At 35.8% G+C, this 27,121-nt stretch overlaps 1 long non-coding RNA gene across 1 annotated transcript in view, besides 1 other annotated feature; it reads left to right on the forward strand.

Moving 5' to 3' along the window:
* Nucleotides 1-27,121, forward strand: part of LOC124909491 (uncharacterized) — an 84,567-nt gene that overhangs the window by 21,286 nt on the left and 36,160 nt on the right. The gene's annotated exons all lie outside the window — the stretch shown is intronic.
* Nucleotides 15,186-15,480: a silencer, noted in NCBI's record as "tiled region #10497; K562 Repressive non-DNase unmatched - State 24:Quies". NCBI's record gives its function as "represses a minimal TATA promoter and a strong SV40 promoter by Sharpr-MPRA in K562 cells {active_cell/tissue: K562}" and the evidence as "EXISTENCE:reporter gene assay evidence [ECO:0000049][PMID:27701403]".

Below are 27,121 nucleotides of genomic sequence, written 5' to 3' on the forward strand. Positions count from 1 at the left end.
GAGCAAGGGAAATGAATCAAATCAGGAGTTGCCAGTGGCTAGAGATTAGGGGACACTATGGACTATCCAGGGCACCAGGGACCACTTTAAAGTTCAGGAAACATTTGACATCTTCAAATGGGTAGTCACATAGCTACATATTTGAGAAATTTATTGAATTATATACTTAAAAATTATGAACTTAATTGCATTTAAATTGTACCTCAATAAAACTGACTCTTAAAAAACTGTATTGAGGAGGATCTTGATATAAATTTGTTTGATGTGATTATATAGATGGGAAACATTGGCATATTCTATTAATATCAGTGTATTTCAATATTCTATTAAAAATTCTGATTCTGACACTTCAAAAATATGTTGAATTAAAGAATAACGAAAATCCAAATTTTATGTCACAAGATGCAGATATAGCAATGAGTAGAACAAAGGAATAGCCTTAAAATGCATATGCTAGAGAAGAAATGAGCTAATTGTCTGTCTCAAGATATTAGAAAAAAAATAGCAAAGTAATCTCAAGAGATTAGAAGCAAAGAAATAATAATCACACAAGAAATGATGTAGAAAACACTCATAATAGAGAGAATCAATAAACTTAAAATTTGGTTCTTGAACAGACTTACCAAATTCGAAATGGCTGTTAAAATGGATTAGAAAAGAAAGAAAGAGAACACTAGTCAAAAATAACTTAATCTAGTCAACACTGCAGACACTATATACATTGAAAATATAAGTAGTTGTGAATAACTTTTTAATGGATCTATTCTCCAGTACAATAAAATTTATCAATATTAAGTGTTTTGCTAATTTTATACAACCATATTAGCACTAATGCAATCAATAAATAGGAATCAATAAATAGAAAACACTTCAGCCTAAAAGATTTCCTCAAGCTCCTTTACATAGATCCTCTCCTCCACACCCTGCCTTAACTATCCACTAATCTGCTTTCTGTCAGTTTTGCAGTTCTAAAATTTCTATAAATGGAATCATACAGAAATTTCATTTTATTTGGTTTATTTCAATTAATGCAATTTTTATAATGTAATGTTAATCTATGTTTTCTGTACATTAATATTTAATTTCTCTTTTAGCTGAATAATATTTTATGCCATGGATAAATTCAAATGTATCTGTTCACCAATTGGGTTTCTTCCAGTTGAGGGCTGTGACAAAGAATATTGTTGTAAACTTTTGTGTATGTGTGTCTTTGCTGAATTGTTTTCTGTTGTGTTTGTCCCTAGCACTAGAATTTTGCTAGAACACAGTAAGGTTTATTACATATCTTTGAAATTAATTATGCTCCTAAAGTGGCATAGCATACAGAAAAAAATGAGAGGATATTTTTCTAAAAGACAAAGAGAGCTTGCTGACTGTTCCAATGACACTTTGCATTTCCTTAGGTGAGTCACTTAAAACCTCAATTCAACCTCCACTTGTCAAATGAGAAAAATAATGAGTCCCTGCCTCGGAGGGATGATGTGAGGATTTATGACATTATACTGTGCATAAAATTGCTCTGTGCTTCTAGCAAAAAGAATGCAATTTAAATACAACAAATTATTTTCATATTTTATATCAGCTTGCATCTGTTTTTGTTGTGGTCTGATTAAATCAGTTTTAACAAAAGTTAAAAAAATTCTAGTGCTTTTCTAATGTTATATAATAATCCTAATGACTCTGAAAAAAAGTACATCCTGAAGCTAAGTCAATAATTACACAGTAAAATTGTTTTACAATTGAAATAATACTAAACATGTCCAAAAAATATTTCCATAATTCATAAACCTCAGCTTCTTACTGTGACCTAGAGGTCTTGTTGTATATAGAACAAAATGACTCCTGCAGGCCACGCTTGCTGTATATTTGTATGCATACAAAATAATCCTTGAGAAGTGCATTAGTTAGATGTATGGCATAATTGCATATAATTGAATTCACATGCTTCTCTGCAATAAAGTGGAAATGTCCAAAAAACAAGTTATACATTAATTTTCTTTTAGTTACAATGATAAATTGGAACTTCATTTTAGCACTAAATAATCTTCTGCAGCCTAAAAGATGGCCAATTGGAAGGGAAAGAGAAAGAGAAAAATATCAGTTAGAAGTGATTTGGATCACAGCAAATAGTATGGTTGGAGAATATTAAAGTTCGAGCATCTTAAAATTATAATAGCTGAAATTTAATAGAATATAGACACAACTTTGGATAATTAAAAGTGGAGATGGTAGATATAGCAAACAGTAATGGTATTAAAATATACATTGTGGATTCACAAAAATACTGAAATCATGAGAATTTCAACAGATTGCACATTAACTATAGTCACACATCACATAATAACATTGTGGTGAATGGTGAACCACATACACTTATGAAGCTATTTACTTTGTAGCTGTCATAATGTCATAGAGCAAGACATCACTCAGGTGTTTGTGGAGATGGTATAAATAAACCTACTATGCTGTCAGTCATATAGATGTATGGAACATACGATTACGTACAGTACCTAATACTTGATAATAACAATAAATGACTATGTTACCAGTTTATATATTTACTATAATACACTTTTTATCATTATTTGGAGTGTACGCCTTCTACTTATTAAAAAAAAAAAAAGTCAACTGTAAAACAATCTCAGGCAGGCCCTTCAGAAGACTTTCCAGAAGAAGGCACTGGTATTATAAAGGATGACAGCTCCATGCATGTAATTTCCCCTGAAGACTTTCCAGTGGTAAAACATGTGGAGGTAGAAGATAGTGATATTGATGTTCCTGACCCTGTGTAAATCTAGACTAATATGTGTGTTTGTGTCTTCATTTTAAACAAAATTTAAAAAGTAAAAAAAAAAATTAAATTAAATTAAAAATAGAAAAAAGCTTATAAAGTAATGATATAAAAAATATTTTTCTAAAGCTATACAAAATGTGTTTTAAGTTAAGCATTATTTAAAAAGTCCCAAAGTTAAAAAAAGAAAAAGTTAATAAAGCAAAATTTTTAGAGTAAGCTCAGATTAATTTATTACTGAAGAAAGAAATTTGTAAATACATTTAATGTAGCCTAACTAGGCAGTGTTGATAAAGTCTGCAGTAGGGTACAGTAATGTCTTAAGCCTTCATATTCACTCACCACTCATTCACTGGCTCACTCAGAGCAACATCCAATCCTGCAAGCTCCATTCAGTGTAAGTGCCCTACACAGGTGTACCATTTATTATCTTTTACACAGTATGTTTACTGCCACTTTTCAATGTTTAGATACACTAATATTAACATTGTGTTACAATTGCCTACAGTATTCAGTATGGTAACATGCTGTACAGGTTTGTAGTCTAAGAGAAATAGGCTATACCATTTAGCTTAGATGTTTAGTAGGCTATGCCAGCTAGGTTTGTGTAATTAACACTCTATGATGTTGACCCAATGACAAAATCCCCTACCAACACAGTTCTCAGAATGTGTCCCTGTCATTAAGCAATGCATGACTATAGAAAGCAAAATTAACATAGCAATTATATTCACTAAAATGCAATTAAAATAATGGCTTACACTTATGTTAAATCAGTATGGCTTCATTTATATTAAAGGAATTCAGCTCATAAATTTACTAGAGCAATGTTTCTTAGTAAAAGTTACACATTAAAATCACCTGGGAAGTATCCCCCCAAATTACCAATGTCTAGACACCACCTGGGATATTAGAATAATTTGATTCACAGTGGGGCACAGGTATCAGTAATTTTTAGCACCCTCTCCCCATTGAAATACGTAGGATGGTAGAATCACAGAATACTGGAGATAGATTGAACTTTAAAGAAAACACGACTTGACATTCTCCTGTGATTTATGTTTCACGATTAAGTCCCATGATACTTAAAGTGGTGCTTAAAGTTATGTAGTGTAAAGGTGACTCAGCCATAAAGAAAATGGAGCTCATATTCAGGAGTCAATTTACCTGAAATCAAACCAATATTGAGTGGTAAAACTAGATTAACAGCCAAGATCCTGGTTTCAAAATCTTTACACTTAATCTTCTGGCACTACCTAGTCTCTTAATAATACATCTTAATTTGGGCACTTAATTGATGAAACTAATAAAAACATTGCTAGACTAAGAATTTCTTAGATCTTTGAAATGATTCATGTTAAAAACAAACTTTTTCAAAACCAAAAGGTGAATAACAATAAGTAAGAACCATTCATAAAATATCTTAGAATAGTGCATTTGACATTATGAGCAGGTCACTGTAAAGAGACAAATAATAATGATCAAAGATAAAAAGATCTATCCCGAAAAATTCATGAGAGTGTCAATGTGTTTGAATGCTATCATAAATCACTGCATTGCTTCTTATTCTTGGAAAGTATCACCTCACAGAACAAGAAGCTGAAAGTCAGGGGGAAAGAAAAAAGAAAGAGAGAGGGAGAGAGGGAGGGAGGAAGGAAGGAATTAGATTTCACCCCAAAGTCACCTAAAAATATAAATATTTTCATTTTTATACCATCTGGCTATAGATGGTGCTATGCCATAGTTAGATCTTTTATCAGGTAAAGACCCTGGTGAGCGTTTTCCCTAAGGGAGTGAGGATTAAATAGGAAAATGTCAGTGCCCTATTCAGATAACACCAATTTGCTGGGAAATCTGATAGCATTTTAAGCACGTGGCATTGAGAGGAGCTGCTATGTATGCTGTTTTATTAAAAAAAGAAAAAAGACCAAATCAATATTACAGCAAGATGGGAAGAAGATTATAAAAGAAAACCAAGAAGTATACACGATAGTGAAATGAATACTTGACCAATATATATTGAGTTTATCTCAATTTTTAAAGAATAAGAATGCAAGCTATTAAAGGTGGCAAGAAACCTGTATAGGGCCAGGCACTATGGCTCATGCCTGTAATCACAGCAATTTAAGAAGCTGAGGTGGGAGGATCCCTTGAGGCCAGGAGCTCAAGACCAGCTTGGGTAATTAAGCGAGACCTCATTACTTCAAAAAAATAAAAGTAATTAGCTGTGTGTGGTGGTGCACACCTGAAGTCTCAGTTACTTGGGAGGCTGATGCAGGAGGATAGCTTGAGCCCAGGAGTTCAAGGTTTCAGTGAGCTATGATTGCGCTTCTGTGTTCCAGTCTGTGTGACAGAGGAAGACCCTGTCTCAAAACAGAAAAAAAAAAAAAAAAAAAAAAAAAAAAAAACAAGAGGAAAAAATAAACAAAACCTGACTCTCCCTGCAATTTGCAATCTGAGTTTGTCAGCATCTACTCAGGTCGAATTCTTATAAATTTAGGTCTCTGCTGCTGCAGCTATTGCCCTGGATCAAGCAAAAATATTCCAGGAGGCTGTGGTATCTCCTCCTTCCTTTAATCCTCTGGATACTCATCAACCTGCTGAGGTTGCTCCATGCAGAAGGATGTCTAAGAGGGTCAGATTTCAGGTCAATGTTCTGGCTTCATCGCTTTAATGCACAATATCCAAAACAGTAATATGAGCAGTTGCTAATGCTTGAGAAGAAGTAACTCACAAGGCAGATTTGCTTCATTAATTATCTGCTATTGAGCTGTTGAAGTACAAGAACATGAGCTGTGGCTCAACCATTGCTCCCCGCTGTGGAGTATGTCATGATTTTAAGAGTAGAAGTAGGAGGAAGAGCCTGAGTGTGTGGTTAATAATGCATTAAATAGAGGTGTTGTGTCCTTGCTACCTATGCTTTCTATGCCAAATAGGATAAGAAAAATGTATTGAAACCAAGAAGGGATAAGAATAACAATACAAAAAGGGAATGGCAAAAGGACAAGGAATGTAAACTGTTAGTGAAAGCATACTCTCTATGAAGAATCTTTTGAAATAATGCAAAATTCCTCAGGCAGTAAGTCAAAATAAATCAATGTTTCTCAACAGAGGAGTGATGCTCTCTCAGGGTATTTTTCAAAGGCTTTTTTGCTGTTGTTGTTACCAGACCTGAATAGGTGCTAATGGCATCCAGTTGTTAGAGACCAAAGTTCTTCTAAGTATCGAACAATTCACAACACAGTCCATAACAACTAGGAATTATCTCATCCAAAATGCTAATACTGCTGAGGTTGAGGAAACCTGGTATAAAGTAAATTATTATATGACAGGTGGTAATAAAATTCTTTTAAAGAATAATCACATTCAAAAGAGTTATTTCAGAAAATTTAGCATGGAAAAGTGCCATGCAGAAATGTATTTTCTACCAAATGAGCCTCTATCGTATTATACAATCTGCCTGGGTGTATAAGTTTCATACATTTTTAATACTGAAATTTAAATGCACAAGTTTTAAGGAAATGTAAAACAAGTCCACTGACCTTAATTTTTATCTTCTACTTTGCCATTTCTATAAATTTTAGTCTATAAACTTATGCCTGGCCTCAATTGACATGAGGGCTACAAAGGCTATGAACAGTTTCTTTTGATATTTATACTTTGAAATTAAATGTAAGTGGTCTCAAATTTGATAAAGAATTTAGCTTTATCAAATAAGAACTATTACCTGGAAAAACCACCAGTTTCTCAGTCTCTTCTAACCACACTTCTTGTAACTAACTCATAGAAACAAAAATCTGCATGTATTTTGCATTCTTATGTCCGTTTTCTTGTGTCATTTCACTCTTACTTTCTAAGTCCTCCACAAAAAAAAAAAAAAAAAAAGTGTGTGCCTGCCACTTTGCTAACTATAGCTACTTCTACATAATTGCCACCATTTGGGGTCATCCTGTACTATTCTCAAAACTGCTCTGTTGTGGTACCTTTGTCTGGAATTCTGGAATTAAAATCTGCTGTGACTGTAAATGTCAAAATGGAAATATTTAAGAAAAAAGGAACAAACCATTCTCAACAAAAATGGGTCAAGATAACACTGACACTCTCAAGTGGGTAATTAAGTTAATTTTCTGTATCATTCAAGCCCAAACTATAAATTTAAATAAAACATACAATTAAACATTATTTAGCACATTTTCTGTACAAATAATGTATAATATGCTTCGCAGTATAATAAGATAATCAATACACAGTCTTTCTCAACTCTAGAGGCAGAATGCTGGTTTGAAATCCAGATTTATGTTCAAGTCCAAATTGTTTAACCTCTTCAAGCTTTAGTTTCAACATTTGTAAAATGGAAATAGTCACAGTACATATGTTTATTTTATTTTATTTTTTGGTGGTAGTGAGGATAAAATGCTTAAAATAATCAATGGCATGCAACAAACCATCAAAAAAATGCTATTTTATAAATACAATTTTACTAAGTGAGAAGGAAGTTCCAGATTCATAGAACAGTATAAGCAAAAGTCCAGAAATAGAGAAGTTCAGGCTATGTCAAAAAATGATGAATGATAGTGAACTTGTAAATGCAGGATTCGTTAGAAGATACAGTCAAATTCTAAGCAGAAAAGTGAAGATATGGCCAAAATACCCAAGAGGTTTGAATGCCATGCTAATGAGTTCACATTTGGTAGTGTGCATGGGTGGAGGGGAAGCTGGGTATGTGTGGGTGGTGGGAGGCATAATTAAAGTTTTGAATGAAGACTTTAGGTTTTGAAAAGAAACTCCAATCGCAGTGTGAAGTCTATATTGGAAGATAAAAATTGTAGGATGGAGAACTTAGGAACCATTTCCATAAATTAGGTAAGACATAGTAATGTCTGAACTAAAGTAATGGGATTAATAATGGAAAGGGTTGATATTGGCAACATTAGAGGGGAAAAATGAACAAATTGTTTTGCTTGTGTGAGTAGGGTGGTATGGAGAGTCAGCCCTCTGTATTGTTTAGCCTATATTTTCTATTGTTCCCTGCCAATACGTAGTCCCACATTCTCCAGAAATAGTAGATGTGAACTCTGAAATTACACGGGTCTTCTCTTGGTATCCAAAAGTCTGCATAAACTCTGTTTTGATTGCCTACAAAGAGACAGGTTTTTTTCATCATCTCAAGAGAAATATTGAAAAATTACAACTAGTCTGTCTGTTATGTTTCTGGGCACATATAGACCTTGCTCTTTTGGCTCACGGCCTATTAGAGGTTGTTAGGGAACATAAACAATGCTTAGCCAAGTTATAGATGAAGTATCTGAAAATGTGACACGATTTCCCAGTGCAGAGGTACAAAGGTGATCCCTTTCCGTCTCATCATAAAGGTCACAGCCAATACTCCTATAATAAAAGACAGGTAGCCAAAAGAAAAACACAACAAATTAACATAGTCATAGTATTACATGACATGGGAGACTTCAGAAATTAAGACCTAAAGATACAGGGAAAAAAGGATGCATTTTTATTCTTAGTTTCAATGGAGAATGAACAGCCATGTAGAACTATAATTAGACACAAACGGTTATGACCTAATGGGAATAGACTGAATAGGAAAACAGCAAGGCTTGTCTATTTGGCTTCATCTTGGCCTGTCTGTGCAGTATTTCTTTCTTCCAGGTTATGGGGCAGGACCTCTTCTGGGATAGGGGTCTTATGACCTAGTGTCAAGCAAAGTAGGTAAGAGAATTTCTTTATGGTCAGCTCTTACACAGAAAGGCAGGAGAAGGTAAGAGTAATGTTTTTAGGCTGTATGACTGTCTTGGGGAAGAGGAATTCTGATTCCCATAGCCTGCCTTGTGGAAGAGGTATTCTAGTTTCTACGGCTAGGCTCAGGAGAATGAAGACCGTGAGACAGAAGGGCAGGAAAAGGTCAGAGAGAGACTTTGCTTCTAAGGCCTACACTTGGGTATATCATTTTCTAAGCCCCAACACCAAGATCGATGAAACAGAGTTGATATTACAGAATTTGTATCAGTTTCAAAATCTTATGCATACAAAGCTCACTTTATGACAATTTTCTTTCTAACCAATTGCAGATTTGGGACGTACAAGCCAATATTTTATACGGGAAACAAGTTTGTTTCAGGAATAGTAATTTTACTGCATACCATTATTAATTTCTATTATCTTAAGAAATATGATCGAAACAATTTTATGATCAATGAAGCCTAAAACACAAGTAGGCAAGAATGCTCCACTGTTCACTTAACAATTCAAGTAGATCAGGAAGGTTAATATTACAAAGCACCAGACACGAACGTAATTGAGTTTTTGTATGGCTCCTAGTGCTACTGATAGAAATCTATGAAAAATTTCCAAGTCAATACAAATTCAGCAGCACCAAAATGGAATGCCATGGTCTCAAATGAATAGTGGTCTAAACGTGTCTATAAATCAATAAGGAAAAGACTAATCCCTCAATATGAAAAATAAAGTATGGGCCAGGTGCGGTGGCTCACGCCTGTAATCCCAGCACTTTGGAAGGCCGAGGCGGGCGGATCACGACGGTCAGGAAATAGAGACAATCCTGGCTAACACGGTGAAACCCTGTCTCTACTAAAAATGCAAAAAATTGGCCGGGCATGGTGGTCGCAGGTACTCCAGAGGCTGAGGCAGGAGAATGGCGTGAACCCGAGAGGCGGAGCTTGCAGTGAGCCTAGATCGCGCCACTGCACACTCAAGCCTGGGGGACAGAACGAGACTCTGTCTCCAAAAAAAAAAAAAAAAAAAAAAAGAAAAAAGAAGAAAGAAAGAGAGAGAGAAAAAAAGTATGATCATAAACATTTGAGAAGACATTCAGCTTACTTGTATAAGAATCATGAAACATCTAACCACACCAAGCAACAGGTTTTTTCCCCTATCAGATTGTCAAATAATTAAAAGATAATAATAAAAAAACTGGGGGGAGAATAGACAGTCTCATATATTACTTATGGGATTAAATTTTATGGTGTATTTTATAGGACAATTTGGAAATATCTATCAAGTTTAAAATGTACATTACTCTCTAGGATGTTTATCCTAGAAGTATACTACCAATATGTACCTGAATATTTAGTGTATAATCATTTGCAACACCAAGTGCTGAGAAACAATTTATATGCTGATCAATTGGGGGACTATTAAGTATATTGTGATCAATATTCCGTAGCATAATTGGCAGGCATTTGAATGATGAGGTAGTTCTGCATGCACTAATATGAAATCATTTATAAGATATATTTTTAAGTGAATAAATAGGGCCAGATTTATGTGCATACAAACAAATATTGATGTGAAAAATAAGTAATGGTTTTACATACATTTGTATTTAAATAGAATATTTATGGATGGAATCACAAAAAGTCAGTAACAGCAAGTATGTTTCAGAGGGAGGATTGAGTGTTAAGAGGACAGAGTAGAATGGGGTCTTTAGTATTCAGGGTGTAAGCTTATGTCTATTTGAATTCCCTATAATATGCCTGACTTATTCAAAACACATGTTAAATCATAATGTTCATGAAAACATAAAGGAATAATAAATGCTACCTCTTCAGAGTCCTTGTAACTGTGAATTGCTACAAATAAGAAAGATTTGTAATTGTCATCAGATTCTCAAAGGAATCTCTCTCAAGTATTAAAAAACAATGCTTTCTGTTTTCTTCAAACTCCATGAATTTATATATGCCTGCAACTCCTTCTGTGTCTGCAGATTCTGTTAAAGATTTTTTTTTTCCATTTTCCTTTTTATTTCTTAACCACAGCACAGCCTTGTCTTATGGTGAGACGAACCTCAATGAATGTCTTAGAATACTTAACAGTAGACACATGGACTTTCTTATCATGTAAATATCACCCTATTCCCTTTATGATGAAAAGGACAACAGTGAGACTTAATCAGAAAACATGTATAGTGTATTGTGAGATGTAAGGAAAAAGATAATTTTGTAACTTCAAATAGTTATAATATCTACATCTATTTTTCCATTCATGTATTTTCTTAGAATTCTTACAGTTGCACAGAGAAATGGGGATCAGTAATGGGTAAATGGCAATTCAGTAAAAATTGACTGCTAGTGTTATGTTAGATTTTATAACACCAATAATTTTGTAAATAAAATTGCAGTAATATAAAATTCAAAATATGCTTTTAAAGGTGTGAATAGAATGCTCATGGGTGAAAATAACAATAAGTGACAATTTTGTGGGTCTAAAATGTATGCTACTGAAAAGCCATCAAGTAATTTCTGTAAAGTGTATATTTAAAAGGTAGAGGGAAAGTTGGCCAGATGGATTCACATCTTTTACTCTGCTAAGGTAAAATCATCTGAATTAAATTACAATTTTTTCCTTGTGTACCTGAGGTTTTACCTGGAGTCCACTGAGGCTTGTACCTGTGCATATGGAAAACAGATGCTCTCCTTCCAGATTACTGTATCCTCAATAAAACTTTGTTGCCTACAATCCAGAGTTCTAATCTAACTTTTCACATGATTACTGCTATGATTTGGATGATGATGCCTTTTCTCAGGATAGCCAAAATCAAAGCAACCTAAATGTCTTCTAGCATGTTTGTTGGGTTGAAGTTTTGCTTATTTGTTTGTCTTTTTATAAAGTTTTTATGCCCATAGACATATGTTTCATTTTTCTGATATGTGTCTTGTCCTTCAAGTCTTTTACGAGAAAGACATCCCTTCTCACCAAAACTCTCATTTGAAAATGGGCCCTAAAGCTAGAGCCTGACTCTATTTAATTTCTGTAGTCGTTAGAACTATTGAAATTTAATCTGTTTGATAAGTGCTCCCAAAGTTCTCTCACGACAAAAATTAGAGGTTCTTATTTTTTAATTGCATTCAGAACTAGTATAGTTTGTTTAAACCAATTTATCACGAAAAAAATTCTGTTACTTGGCACACAAAGTAAATTAAAAATGTTATTTGAAAAAGAATGATTATACATGTTTAGAATAAACTACATTTTTAGTTACATATGTAAAAACAAAAATACACATGTATAAGGAGGCGTGATGCCAATTATATATGTGTATTTTATATACAATATTATTTTTATTTTTTCTAATATAAATTATTTTCAAATATAAATTATGTTTGTTTTTTCAAATATTTCTGTTGCTTTATTCTTTCTTTTCACTCTGAAATTACAATTCTGTGTACGATACACCACTTAATATCATGGATTAAATTCTCCACTTTTTAAAAAAGCAATTACATTAATTTTCGCATTTTAATTGGAGTGATTTTGATTGATTTATCTTCTAATTTATTAAATTTTTCCTTTGTTGTATTGAGTCTACTGATGAGTCTGCCAAAAAAATTCTTTATTTATGTTACTGCGATTGATTTCTAGGATTTCCATTTTGTTCCTATAGTTTTCATCTCTCTGCTGAATGTATTTATTTGATCTTGCATATTGTCTATTTTTCTGATTATATCATTTGACATATTAATCATAGCTATTGTAAAGGCTCAATCTGAATATCCACATCTGTGGAATATCTAATTCTGGTTCTGATAATTTCTTTCTCTCATTAGAATCTCTTTTTTTTTCTTCTTTTGTGGTACCTCTTAGAATCTTTTTGCCAAATCCAGACATGTACAGGATGGTAGGGAATATGGTAAATATTCTTTTTTACATGTATAAGTTATAAACTTTTCTTTCTGGTAAGCCTTCATTGTGGGAGTTCACTAATTTAGCAATGAATTTGGCTGGGTTCAAAGTTTATGTTGATATGATTGCCAAATTAAAGGTCTTTTGTTTTTGTGGGCACAAAATACTTCAAAATCCTTCAGTAAAATAATGTTTTTGTTTTCTCACTTAGATTTAGGTCTACTCATTGCTCTGCTCTCCAAAGAAATTCTATTTCTTTCTTAGGCCTTGGCTATATCCCTCTATTATTTTTAATAAAGTCTTGTTACCAGAAGTGTTTGAAATGGGCTTGTCTTCTCTGATGTTCTGATTAAACCTCAGTCTCAGGCAGGACTATGAAACAGAGTCCCTTGGGTATGGCCATCACAAGTATCCCTAACCTTTCTTCACATAGAGCTTTATTTCCCTTTATTCCACTAACATACTACAATAGGTATCAATGTGTTCAAGCTATGAAACAGGTACTCTTTACAGTTTTATTTTAAGGCATGTTATTACCTAAGTGAGGTAGGGAAGATGACTCTGGGTAGATACTGTAGTGGGGCCTTACATTTGTCTCCCAACAGCTGTAGAAATTTTTTCAGTGCCCAAGAATACAGGTTTTTAATTCCTCTGTTGTTTTTTCCTATAACAAATATTGCTTAGATGGGTCTGAGCAGATTTCAGCAGCGACTGTTCTTTCCCTTCTCCAACAAGTACCATGGTGGCGGAGGTGGGCGGGGTGGGGGAGGGGGTTGTGTGAATTCCACTCAGTTCTCTCTTTGAGATATTGATGGTGTTCATGGAAGAAAGGCTACAAGAGATGGGGCTGATCCTATGTCTGTGGAACCCATGGGCCTCAGATTTTCAATCTAGATCATGCTGGGCTTTAAGCAATCAATTAAATATTTTTAGTTTAATCTTCCTATCAGGTTATATGACATGCTATAACGTCTACCTCAGGTAAGCAGATGCTTAGATTCTGTTTATTTTTCCAGATACCTATTTCTCTTCAAGTTGTGTAATCACAGTTCTCTGACTAGTTCATGAAAAACTGCTAATTTGTAGTTTGTTAAGATTTTGTCCTCAAATTAGAATTTAAAAATGTTCTTTCCAGCTGTTCACATCTGAGCTAAAACTGCACTTACAGATCAACTTTTATACTCCATAAAAGTTACTGTCATAAGACTACACTAAGGATCTTGCCATTTTTTATTTAGGGAAACTTGTGTTTGTTAACTAGTTTTCAAAGCCTTATTTGTTTATCTACAAAATGGTGACAATATTCCTTGCAGAAGACAGAGATTGAAATACCCTGTGGATAATAAAATAAACAAAGTATAAATGTCAGCTGGGAATCTCTGTCTTTTGACATTTGGTTAAAATTGCCCTGAATGTCTAACCTTCTCATGTATGGAAACATAACCTCTTACTAACAGCTATGTAAATTCCAAGAGGTCTTTCTATTGCTATTTTTCCACTGAAGTATGTCATACCAAATGTGAGATTTGACTTTGTTTCAAAATTCTTCTAAATTGGAGTTCTACTTAAAGTACAATGGAATAAAGTTCCTAACAAAATGATTCTCCTGAAAATAACATCTAAAATTCTGGACAAAGTACAAAATATAATTATGATTGTTATGGAGATCAAACAAAAACAAGCAGAGTTTTCAAAAGAGTCAGAACATCAGGCAAGAGATTGTAAGGTGAGGCAAAACTTTACCTCTACTCTCTTAGGGTCCTGCTGGGCCTGAGTAAATTGACATAAGATAGATTAACAGGAGAAAACACACTAATTTAATGTAAGTATTATGTGACAGGAGAGCCCTCATACAAAAAAAAAAAAAGAAAATGAAGACCTTAAAAAGTGACTAAACCTAAATGCTCTTTTATGAGGTTGAACAAAGGAAGGCAATTACAGAAAAGTAAATAAATCCTGAGGGAAGGCATAAGGAAAGCAAAAATTATTTTAGCAAATTCTGTTTGAACAGAATTATCTCAGCTATGACTCCCCATTGAAAAATATTTCTTTTCTGCTGGTACAGAGAGGATATCTTTTACAGGGAAGTTATCTACTGTGTTCAGAAAGAAGTGGGAAGATCAGAGTATCCTTCATGTATTTGGTATTTTTCAGGTGCTTTTAAATGAAAATGATTCCATACCAAGGTGGGGGATATTCTGACAAAATTCAAGACCATAGCGAAAAAACACAAAAACAAAAACAAAAAACAAAAAAACCTTTTACTGTTTTGTTTTGAGTTTTAGAGCAGGAGGGCAAAAGGTGGCTAAAAGTTTGATAGTACACCCTGTCTCTTTTCTGCACAGAGGAGCTTAGGGAAGTAGACTGAAGAAATCGGAGCCACTGGATACCTAGGACACATCTGAAAAAAAAGTACCAGAGAAAGGGCGCTTCTGATTCTCAGTAAAAGGAAACATCTTTGGTCTGATAAAGGCATCTGTACGTATATGGTACAAACAAAATTTAACTAATATCTATGGCATAAAAATTTTAAGTGCGCTAAAACAGAAGTTCCGGTTCAAGATGACTAACTAGAAGCAGCTAGTCGACACTTCTAAGGAGATGAATCAAAATAGTGAGTAAATATTTATACTTTGAATAGATCACTTAAGATAGCACAATGGAGTGCATCAGAGAAGTAATGAGAATCATGAAAAGCAATGAAGAATAAAGCAAGGATGTCTAGTGAGCTGGGATCTTGGGAAGCCAGGAGGAGATGCAGTGTGTGAGTGAGTGATTGATCTCCCTGAGCTCCACAGACTTTTAAATCCTAGCAATTGAAGAGCTCCCTCGACACACCCCCGACTTCTGACCTGCAGTCAAACACAGGGAGCTGCCTAGAGATGGGGCAGAGGCATTACTCAAGCCCATGTGGAATTCTACAGGCTTTTGATTCTTGAACAGCTGCTACTGTTACAGTGCCAGGGGAGAGAGCAGGAAGGCCAGGCATGTTTGTGCACCTCAAAGATGGATACTGCTACTGCTGCTGTGGAACAGAGGAGCCAGAAGACTGTGTACCTTACAACTGCCAGCCTTTGCTACTCCTACTAAGGCAGTGGGGAGGGGGGTTGGTGAGGGGCTGCCTTCCATTGGGGTAGGGCTGCAGCCAAAATGTTCAGGCAGGAGAAGAGTGGCTGTGCTGCAGTTAAATTCAATAAATGTTGCCGGAAAACTTTGATATGTATATGCAGAAGACTGAAACTAGATGTCTATCTCTCACCCTATACAAAAAATTAACTCTAGATGGATTAAAGACATAAATATAAGACCTGAAACTATAAAAGTACAAAATGGAAGTGAAGGAAGAGCTCTTCAGGACATTGGCCTAGACAAAGAATTTATGGCTAAAACTTCAAAAGCAAATGCAACAAAAACAAAAATAGAAAAATGGGACTTAATTAAACTAAAAAGCCTCTGCACAGCAAAAGAAATAATCAATAGAGTAAACAGCCTACAGGGTGGGAGAAAGTATTTGCAAACTAGGGACTAATGAACAGAATATACAAGGAACTCAAACAATTCAACAGTAAAAGACAAAAACAAAAACAAACCAACAAGCATTAAAAAGTGGGCAAAGGACACGAACAGGTATTTCTCAAAACAAGACAAATAAATGGCCAATAAACATGAAAAAATACTCAACATCATGAATTGTAAGTATAAGGAAAATGTAATTTAGAACCACAAGGATATATTGTCTCATATTAGTCAAGATGACTATTATTAAAAAGTCAAAAACAGGGCAGACACAGTAGCTCACGCCTGCAATCCCAGCGCTTTGGGAGGCTAAGGTAGGTGGATCACAAGGTCAGGAGTTCGAGACCAGCCTGGCCAATATGGTGAAACCCCGTCTCTACTAAAAATACAAAAATTAGCTGGATGTGTTGGTGGGCACCTGTAGTCCCAGCTACCCAGGAGGCTGAGGCTAGAGAATCACTTGAACCCAGAAGGCGGAGGTTGCAGTGAGCCAATATCGCACCACTGCACTCCAGCCTGAGTGAGAGAGCAAGACTCCATCTCAATAAATAAATAAATAAATAAATAAATAAATAAATAAATAAATAAAAAATAAAAAAGTAAAAAAACAGTCGGTGGTGAGGACGTAGAGAAAAGGGAATGCTTATACACTGTTAGTGAGAATATAAATTAGTATAACATATTTGGAAAACAGCAGTATGGAGATTTCTCAAAGAACTAAAAATAGAACTACCATTCGACCCAGCAACCCCACTACTGGGTATGTACCCAAAGGAAAAGAAATTGTTACATAAAAAAAAAAAAAATCTCCCCATGTATATTATTATTGCAGCACTATTCACAATAGCAAAGTCATATAATCAACCTAAGTATCCATCATCAATGGATACTTGGATAAAGAAAACATACATATACAACATGGAATACTACACAGTCATAGAATACTATCCATTCATGTGGCATCAATATGGATGGAGCTGGAGGCCATTATTTTAAGTGAAATAACTAAGAAACAGACAATCAAACACCACATTTTCTAAGTGGGAGCTAAACAATGGGTATACATGGATATAAATAGGGAAATAATAGGCACTAGCAACTCCAAAAGGGCAAAGGCTGGGACAGGAGTGAGGTTTGAAAAAAATTATCTACTGGATACAATTGATGGTAGCTGCAGCCCATCTGGAGTGGCTGCTGTGAAGACACTGGCTGCAGTGGAGGAGGTGGTGCTAGGGCTGTGCACTCCAGGGAGAAGAAGGCAGGAGTCAGAAATGGGTGGAAGCCACACCCTATTCTGAGTTGAAGAGGTGGGATCCCTGCCATTCTTGGGGCAGCTGCGGCCACTCAGCCATGGCTGTGGACCTGGGCATGCCTGTGATCTCTGGGGCCTGAGAAGCCGCCTCCCCCACAGGACGGAAGATGCCTGCTCTTGCTTCCTGGCCTCTCCCAGCTCCCAGCGCCCACTCAGATTTCAGAGAAAAGTTGAGGCCGAGCCTGGGCACTGTTGCAAGCCCGCAATGTGTGCACATTATTCAGGAAGTGCTGACATACCAGCCCCTTGTCACCACAGCCTCCTCCAGATTTTGGGCACCAATGAGCGTGAGAGGGAGGCTTAGTGGGGGGCTTAGGACAGCTCAGTGTGGGCCTGCAGGTGCCCCTTGGCACGAACAGCCTGGGTGCTGTGGGCACAGTGGATGGCACGTTGATGGCTGCAGGAGACAGTCTCCTGGGCAGAAAGGCGCCGGTCCTGGGGAAACCCCACCTTCAAGCCAGGGACAGCCTGAAGCCTGGGGGTCTGGCTGCAACTTCTGCAGACCGGACGGAGAACTTATGGTGCTTTTTTAAGGTCCACTCATGGCCACCCATGAACCAAACAGCATGTACTTCATTGCCTCTGAAGCTCATATAAATCTTGGCCTCAACCAGTCTCGGGCAGACAAGAGGATACCCTGCCTGCGGATAGGAGCTACCCACTCCTGGTCTCCTTTCAGCTGATGGCTGCAGAAGATGGGATGACCTGCCTGCAAATAGGAGCTACCCACTTTGGGTCTCCTGAGAGCTGTACTGTCACTCAGTAAAGCACCTCTTTGCCTTGCTTATGCTCCAGTTGTCCGCGTACCTCATTCTTCCTAGATGTAGGATAAAGGCTTAGGACCTGACAAATGATGAGAATGAAAGAGCTGTAACAAAAACAGGGCTTAAACATGCTTCTACCGTTGCTCACCACATTACGAGCCATGAGAAGGAAATAAGAGCTGTGGCCCTTTGGGGAGCATAGGCCTAGGGGCTGGGCCAGTGGTGTGACACCCTCTTTAGGACTCTGCAGTTTCTGGTGTCTCCAAGCTTCCAGGCACCACCGCATTTCTCTTGTCCAGATGTGGGTCCCCACAGCAGAAATCACTTGTGGTGCATCAGATCCAGCTGCAGGCTTCTGTGGAGCCAGTGCCTGGAGCTGCCTGCCCCACTGCAGCAGCTGGAGTGGTTGGCTCTACACAGTGACCAGGACCTGCGCTTGCTTGCTCATGTACCCCTTGCCACTCTGTGACTGGCTTGCCTTTGGCAGGCATAGGATCTGGGCTAGGAGTGCAAGTGTGAGCGGAGTGCAGCCACCAGGCCAAGTCACTGGAACAAGCCCAGTGGGCCCAGGGACAACTCAGGGAAAGGTGCCCCTGGCCATAGAGGTTTCTTGCTGAAAAAGTGACTCCCAAGGATCCCCTGAGACAATGTTCATGTTTGTGTGATGGGTACACTAGAAGCCCAAACACCCCACTAAGCAAAGACCTAAATAAGTTGAGATGACAATTTTCCCAAATTTATATATAAATGTATTATAATTTCTGTTAAAATTCTAATTGGCATTTTTATACAAATTGACAAAGTGATTTTAAAATTTATACAGAAATTTAAATAAACTAGAAGAGTTTACGTCATTTATTTTTGAAAGACAAAGCCAGAGAACTTACACTACCTGATTTTGAAGTGATTATACCGGTGCAGTAATCAAGAAAACGTGCTGTAGGTTAAAGTATAAAATACATAGATCAATGCAACGAGAGTTCACAAATAGCTTTACACATACATAGTTGCTGATTTTTTGACAATGTTTCCAAGGTATTCAATGGAGTAAAGAAAAATCATTTCAATAAATGGAGCTGGAAAATCTGTATATCCATATGGAAAAATTGAAACTCAAATTGTATCTTCCTCCGTGTACAAAAATTAACATGAAATGCATCATAGACTTAAATATAAAGGCTAAAATTGTAAAACTACTAGATGAAAATGTAGGAGAAAATCTTTTGCTACAGAGAGTAGGCATAGATTTCTTAGACAGAACCCCTAAAACACCAAGAATAAAAATAAAAAGTTGATAAAAACAGCAAGAATAAAAACAAAAAAATGAATAAATTAACTTTTTTTCTAAATTAAAAGCTTTTGCTCTTCAAAATGCACTGTCAAGGAAATTTTATAAAAAGATAATCCACAGAGTGAGAGAAAATATTTGCAATTTATATACCTTATAAATGACTTATTTACTGAATCTATCTATCTAGGGTTCTTATAACTCAATACAAAGTACTAGTATAATTTTTAACTAAGAAAAACAATTATAGTGGATAAAATAGTTCAATAGATAATTCATGCAAGAAGATATATGGATGGCAAGTGAGCACATAAAATGGTGTTCAACAGCCTTTCTATTAGAAAATGAAAATTAAAATCACAAATATCACTACAAGAATGGTAAAATAAAAATGACTGATAATTGTTGACAAGAATGTAAAACCACTGGCATTTCCATACATTGTTTATGGATATATATAACTATAAAGTTGAAAATGGAAGTTTCTTAAGTTAAACACCCACTTTCATAAAACTTGTCACTGTGCTAAGTCATATATGTCAAAACTAGAATTACGTTAATCATTAACAGTTGAAAATTAGTCATTCATTTGTAATATATGGGTATCATAATATCTTTCCTGTCATCTTACATTGCTTTTGTAAAAATTAAACAGGATAATGTATATAAAAGTGTTTATGAAGTCTAAGATGCTGGAAAACGCAGTATTAATGTAATTTATTGCAAAGCATACAGTATGGATAATAAAATGGATACTTGCTTGAGAAAGTATAATGATGTCTCAAAGTCTGGTTACAAACTGAAATATGCTCAAGGAAAAGTATTCATCAAGTGGCACTGCATTCGCAGATGAAAACAAATTGCTTATTTGAAGCAAATTATTATTATTTTCAGTATTTTTATGGTACTTTTCTCACTTACTGCTTCATAATATTTGAAAATGAAGAGAAATGCTGCTATACTCCACATAACATAATCTTAAAACTTTTTAGCTTCTTTAACTTTTTGAACTCAATTTAAAATACCTTAGTTTATTCCTCATTAAGTACCTTTTCATCTCAGTCACTCTGCTCATCTGAATCTCTACACCACAACAATTGCTGATAGATCCAGGCTGTCACCTGGCAGATTGGAAAAAGCACAGCTGTGATGGAGTAGAACAGAAACAGGAAGCTGAGCCCAGTAAACCAAGTTTCTGTGTTAGTTTCTTAGTCGATGAAGCACACTCTGCAGGCTTATTTATATGCATCTTAGTCTTTTCATTTTTAAGACAAAGTGATTGAACTAGGTGATCCCAGATGTACTTTTTAGTTCTTTCTTTAATTACCTATTGTCTAGGATAAAAAATAAAGAGAAGAGTGTAAACGTTTCATTTTCACTTGTGTCTGATACTTGTTTTTTTGTCCTATGATTTATAAGCTTTAGTTTTAATCATTAATATGGATCTTTATTTTGAAATTTGACACACATGCAGAAATGTCATCATTTTAAGACAGTATGCATTTATTCTGTTAATGCTGAAATTTCTCATTGATATTTTTATTGTTTTATTCATGTATAAGAACTTTCTTCATAGTCAGTATTTCTTGTATTTTTAAGAATTATATAGTATTAACTTATCTATTTATTAACAAAGCAAGATGTAATGGACTACTGTATTCATTGAATCTAAGTCATTATTGTTTGTGTGATAAACCATTACATTTTTAGACCACTATGAAATTCAAAACAAAACAAAACAAAACACTGCCAAATGTAGTGGCCATACCATTTATTGTAAGATATGTCACAGTTTCAGAGATGTTAAAAAATTAAAAGCATGTGCCTTAGAATCAAGAAAATAACTTTTTATTAAAACATACATCAATTTACTTTTTATTTGATAAAGTTGTAACAAAACCAGTCTAAATGTATGTTATTACTCTTCTTTTAACATTATCAGTATTTCACTCCCAGTCATGAAAACACTTGAAATGAGTTTTTAAATTAGGTCTCCAAAATGTCATTTTAAAAGAATCTTCTACAGTTTTTTTTTTTTTTAATGTACTCAAGGCGATTCCATAATATGTGTAATTTTTTAAGTGGTCTGACATATACTAAAGACTCTGTAGTGATGTCTTAACCAGTTACTTCTACTTGTTCTACACAGTTCCATGTCCACATAAATGAGAAATAGATTTCTAACTGTTCTTTTCCTGAGAGGCAATGCCTAATATATAAGGTGTGAAACTGCCTAAAAGATTTAATTCTTGTACAACTCCAATCAGGCCCAGAGACAAAAAAATTTAAAAGACATTCTGCTCATAACCCAATATTCCTTGAGATTTTTCACTCTTCAATTCTCTATAGACATATGCTTCTAAAATTGCCAACAGATCTCAAAACTCTTCTCTTTTATCTCAGCTAATCAATTCTCCTTTAAATTACTTTCTTTCCTACACATGGAGGCAACTTAAAAATACTTCTGCCTAAAATTCATTTATTTCCCATATCCCCTTAGCTAAATTGTACTCATGTTTTAATATTCTACTTTATCCTGCCTGTGAAGCTTTTTAAAAAATTTCTAAAACTTTGTTTTTGCCTTCAATTTATGATTTATTCTTCAAATTACAACATTCATCAAAATATATTACCATTATTGCTTCAAAGTAAAGAGTATTTGTTTTCTCTTATTACTGTAACAAATTACCATGAAATCAATGGCTTTTGACAACACAACTGTACTGTCTAACAGTTATGGAGGTGAGAAGTCCAGAATGGGCCAGAAGGACTGTATTCATTCGAGAGCCTCTAGGAAATAATTAATTCCCCTGTCTTTTCCAGGTTCTGGAGGCTACCTACATTCCTTGACTCATGGCCATGCATAAATCTCACCTTTGTTTCTGCTGTTCCATCTCCTTCTTCAACTGACCTTTCTGCCTCCCTCTTATAACGACTCTCATGGTTACATTGGGCCCACCCAGATCGTCAAGAATACCCTCCCCATCTCAAGATCAGTAACTTGAGCACATTGGAAAAGTCTTTTTATGCTATGTAAGGTAACATACTAGTAGATTGTGGGGATTAGAATGTGAACATCCTAGTGGGGCCACTATTCTACCTGTCACATTAACTTTCCCTATTGAACTTTGAGATTTAGAACGTCTTATGGCCTAAATTTTGTCCCCATAAAATATATGTGCTGAAGCTTTATCCCTAATGTGACCATATTCAGAAATAGGCCAATTGAAAAGGTAATTAAACTTAAACAGGATCATGAAAGTGGGGCCCTAATCTGGTAGGACTGTGTCGTTGTAACAAGTGGAAGAGACACTACAAGCATGTATACATGGAAGAAAAACCACGTGAGGACACAGCCATCTACAAGCCAAGGAAAGAGGCTTTAAGAGAAATCAACTAGCTAACACCTTAATCTTGAACTTCCCGTCTCCATAATTGTGAAAAAATAAATTTATGTTCTTGAAGCCACCCAGTTCATGGTATGTTGTAATGGCAGACCTAGCTGACTAATAAAATATGTTTACTCATTTTTTTTAAATTTTAGCATTTAGCTTAGTGACTACGCTAAAATAATAGGCAACAGATATGAAATCTATAGAAACAAACATATTTGCAAAGAAGTATCTTTAAGAAAACTTAAAATGATTTTAGATTGGCACTGAACATTTAATCTAATGCTTAAGCTGGTCATTTATTTTAATTACTTATGGTGAAAACCTTTTCCTATTTAGGGTAAATATTTATTCAGATGCAAGGTTCTTACCATTCTGTATCCTTTACAGAATGACAGGTTAAGGGAAATATTCCCTCCTATGCTATCAATTCAGGAATTTTGTGCATGTGGGTCTTGGGTCCTGGCTGTGCTCATTGCTGTAAGTGACTTCATGAGAGCTGGACCATAGAAATGAGTTGTTTTTCTGTGAAATGTTCTGACTACTAATTTTAACTGCTGTCACGGTCTCCGAAAAAAGTTATGCAAGCAGAGGCCGTGTTTAAATTTACCAAGGCTTCCTGGCATGGAGGACTTCAAGAGGGCCTGTTTCCCTTTCTTTCTTCCAGAATACAGTAAAAGGACTTTCAGGACAGTGGCACAGCCTCTCAGATAAGCGCAGGGTCTTCTTGCTTGGGGCTAACGTATTGGATTCAGCCTGTGTCCACCTGATAGAGCTGGGGAACTGGGAGAAGTTGAGAATGTGTCTGCCATCCCTCATCTAGATTTATTTTCTCTTTTTGAGACGGAGTCTCGCTCTGTCACCCAGGCTGGAGTGCAGTGGCGCAATCTCGGCTCACCGCAAGCTCCGCGGGACTACAGGTGTTCGCCACCACGCCCGGCTAATTTTTTGTATTTTCAATAGAGACAGGGTCTCGCCCTGTTAGCCAGGATGGTCTCGATCTCCTGAACTCATGATCCACCCACCTTGCCTCCCAAAGTACTGGGATTGCAGGCGTGAGCCACCACACTCGGCCCCCCACCTAGATTTCTTTAACCTATTGTTGTCTCTGGATACCCAAGAGACCACCAACAATCATAAACACAAAAAGAGAAAAACATTTCTAATCTCACATTTTCAAAATTGCTCCCATAAATCACAGATGATAATCTTTCTTCTTCATACCCTCTCCCCAGATCAAATTGATATGCGGTATGCACACTCTCCCTCTCACCATTAACCATTCTGCTCTGTAAAACTTCTCTTCATGTTGTCTTTCTGACCTGCGACATAGTCTACCTTCTGCACTGGGGCAGGGGTGGAGGGGCGGAATGAACATGAAATTTTTGTTTTAAGTAAGGATTCTTCAACCTGAAGATATGTTTGCTAAAACTCGCATTCATAAATATTGAGGGAACTTGCATGAGTATAATGTGGGAGACACTTATGAGAATGGGAAAGGAAAAATTGAACTCATCATTCTCTTTCATTTGTTTCAAAACAAGTAAATATTTTAAGTGTTTGTGAAATGAATGAATGAATAAATTAACTTCTAATTATCATAAAATTTAGTTGAAAAATTTCTAAAATTATCTCCCTGAAGTATATGTAGAAATCAGCTGCAGAATGGAAGTTTGATAAAAACATCTAGAGATACTTGATAGAGTAGTACATTCCTGTTATCTTCACCTTCAACTTTTTGTCTCAGAATTTTGCTTCTTCCATTAGATGTTTTATTCCTATGCCCTGATCTCTCCAACTTGAATCTAATAAATATGAAGCAGCTTGCATTTTAGAACACAACAAAATATTTTAAACTCTTTCAGAATAAAGTCAAGGAGAGGCAAGATGCTCCTTCTCATGTTCAAAGCACCAACATTCAGCCTTTTGAAATTACTTTATCTCTGTATTTCTTTACATTCAATTTGTCCAACATGCCTATAACTTATGATTTTGAAAAATAGGCTTACCTTTCATTTTCAATTTATTCTGAAATCTTAATTAATTGGATCATTATTTTATTTATTAATGGTTTGTAAATGTATACCCATAGCTTCCATGATTTCATTGCAATTCCATTCTTCACCATTTGATTCCTTTATTATTGTTATTATTATTATTATTATTATACTTTAAATTCTGGGATACATGCACAGAGCGTGCAGGTTTGTTACATAGGTATACACCTGCTGGGCTGGTTTGCTGCACCCATCAACCCATCATCTACATTAGGTATTTCTCATAATGCTATCCCTCCCCTAGCATCCCACCCCCAAACAGGCCCCATTGTGTGATGTTCCCCTCCCTGTCTCCATGAGCTCTCATTGTTCATCTCCCACTTATGAGTGAGAACATGCAGTGTTTGGATTTCTGTTCCTGTGTTAGTTTGCTGAAAATGATGGTTTCCAGCTTCATCCATGTCCCTGCAAAAGACATAAACTCATCCTTTTTTATGGCTGCATATATTCCACAGTGTACATGTGCCACATTTTCTTTACCCAGTCTATCATTGATAGACATTTGGGTCGGTTCCAAGTCTTTGCTATTGTGAGTAATGCTTCGATAAACATATGTGTGCATGTGTCTGTATAGTAGAATGATTTATAATTCTTTGGGTATATACCCAGTAATGGGATGGCTGGGTCAAATGGTATTTCTGGTTCTAGATCCTTGAGGAATCGCCACACTGTCTTCCACAATGGTTGAACTAATTTACACTTCCAACAACAGTGTAAAAACATTCCTATTTCTCCCCATCCTCTCCAGCATCTGTTGTTTGTTGACTTTTTAATGATCGCCATTCTAACTGGTATGAGATGGTATCTCATTGTGGTTTTGATTTGCATTTCCGAAATGACGAGTAATGACAAGGTTTTTCATGTTTCTTGGCTGCATAAATGCCTTCGTTTGAGAAGTGTCTGTTCATATCCTTCACCCACTTTTTGATGGGGTTGTTTTTTCCTTGTAAATTTGTTTAAATTCGTTGTAGATTCTGGATATTAGCCCTTTGTCAGATGGATAGATTCCAAAAATGTTCTCCCATTCTGTAGGTTGCCTGTTCACTCTAATGCTAGTTTCTTTTGCTGTGAGAAGCTCTTTAGTTTAATTAGATCACATTTGTCAATGTTGGCTTTTGTTGCCATTGCTTTTGGTGTTTTAGTCATGATGTCTTTGCCCATGCCTATGTCCTGAATGGTATTGCCGAGGTTTTCTTCTAGAGTATTTACGGTTTGGGGTTTTACATTTAAGTCTTTAATTCACATTGAGTTAATTTTTGTATAAGGTGTAAGGCAGGGATCCAGTTTCAGTTTTCTGCATAGGGCCAGCCAGTTTTCCCAATACTATTTATTAAATAGAGAATCTTTCCCCATTGCTTGATTTTTGTCAGGTTTGTCAAAGATCAGATGGTTGTATATATGGGGTCTTATTTCTGAGGCCTCTGTTCTATTCCACTGGTCTATATATCTGTTTTGGTACCAGTACCATGCTCTTTTGGTTACTGTAGCCTTGTAGTATAGTTTGAAGACTGGTAGCGTCATGCCTCCAGCTTTGTTCTTTTTGCTTAGGATTGTCTTGGCTATATGGGTTCTTTTTTGGTTCCATATGAAATTTAAAGTAGTTTTTTTCTAATTCTGTGAAGACAGACAATGGTAGCTTGATGGGGATAGCATTAAATCTATAAATTACTTTGGGCAGTATGACCATTTTCACGATATTGATTCTTTCTATCCATGAGCATGGAATTTGTTTCTGTTTATTTGTGTCCTCTCTTATTTCCTTGAGCATTGATTTTTAGTTCTCCTTGAAGAGGTCCTTCCCGTCCCTTGTAAGTTGTATTCCTAGGTATTTTATTCTGTTTGTAGCAATTATGAATAGTAATAAACTAGAAAATCTAGAAGAAATGGATAAATTCCTGGACACATACACCCTCCCAAGACTAAACCAGGAATAAGTCGAATCTCTGAATACACCAATAACCAATTATGAAATTGAGGCAATAATTAATATCCTACCAATCAAAAAAAAAAAAAAAAAAGCCCAGGACCAGATGGATTCACAGGCAAATTCTCCCAGAGGTTCAAAAAGAGCTGGTACCATTCCTTCTGAAACTATTCCAAACAATAGAAATAGAGGGACTCCTCCATAACTCATTTTATGTGGCCAGCATTATCCCGATGCCAAAACCTGACAGAGACACAACAGCAAAAAAAGAAAATTTTGGGCCAATATCCCTGATGAACATCGACGCAAAAATCCTCAATAAAATAGTGGCAAACCGAATCCAGCAGCACGTCAAAAAGCTTATCTACCAAGATCAAGTCCTCCTCATCCCTGGGATGCAAGGCTGATTCAACTTACACAAAT

This window comes from Homo sapiens, chromosome 3 (assembly GCF_000001405.40).
Source record: "Homo sapiens chromosome 3, GRCh38.p14 Primary Assembly".
NCBI lineage: Eukaryota > Metazoa > Chordata > Mammalia > Primates > Hominidae > Homo > Homo sapiens.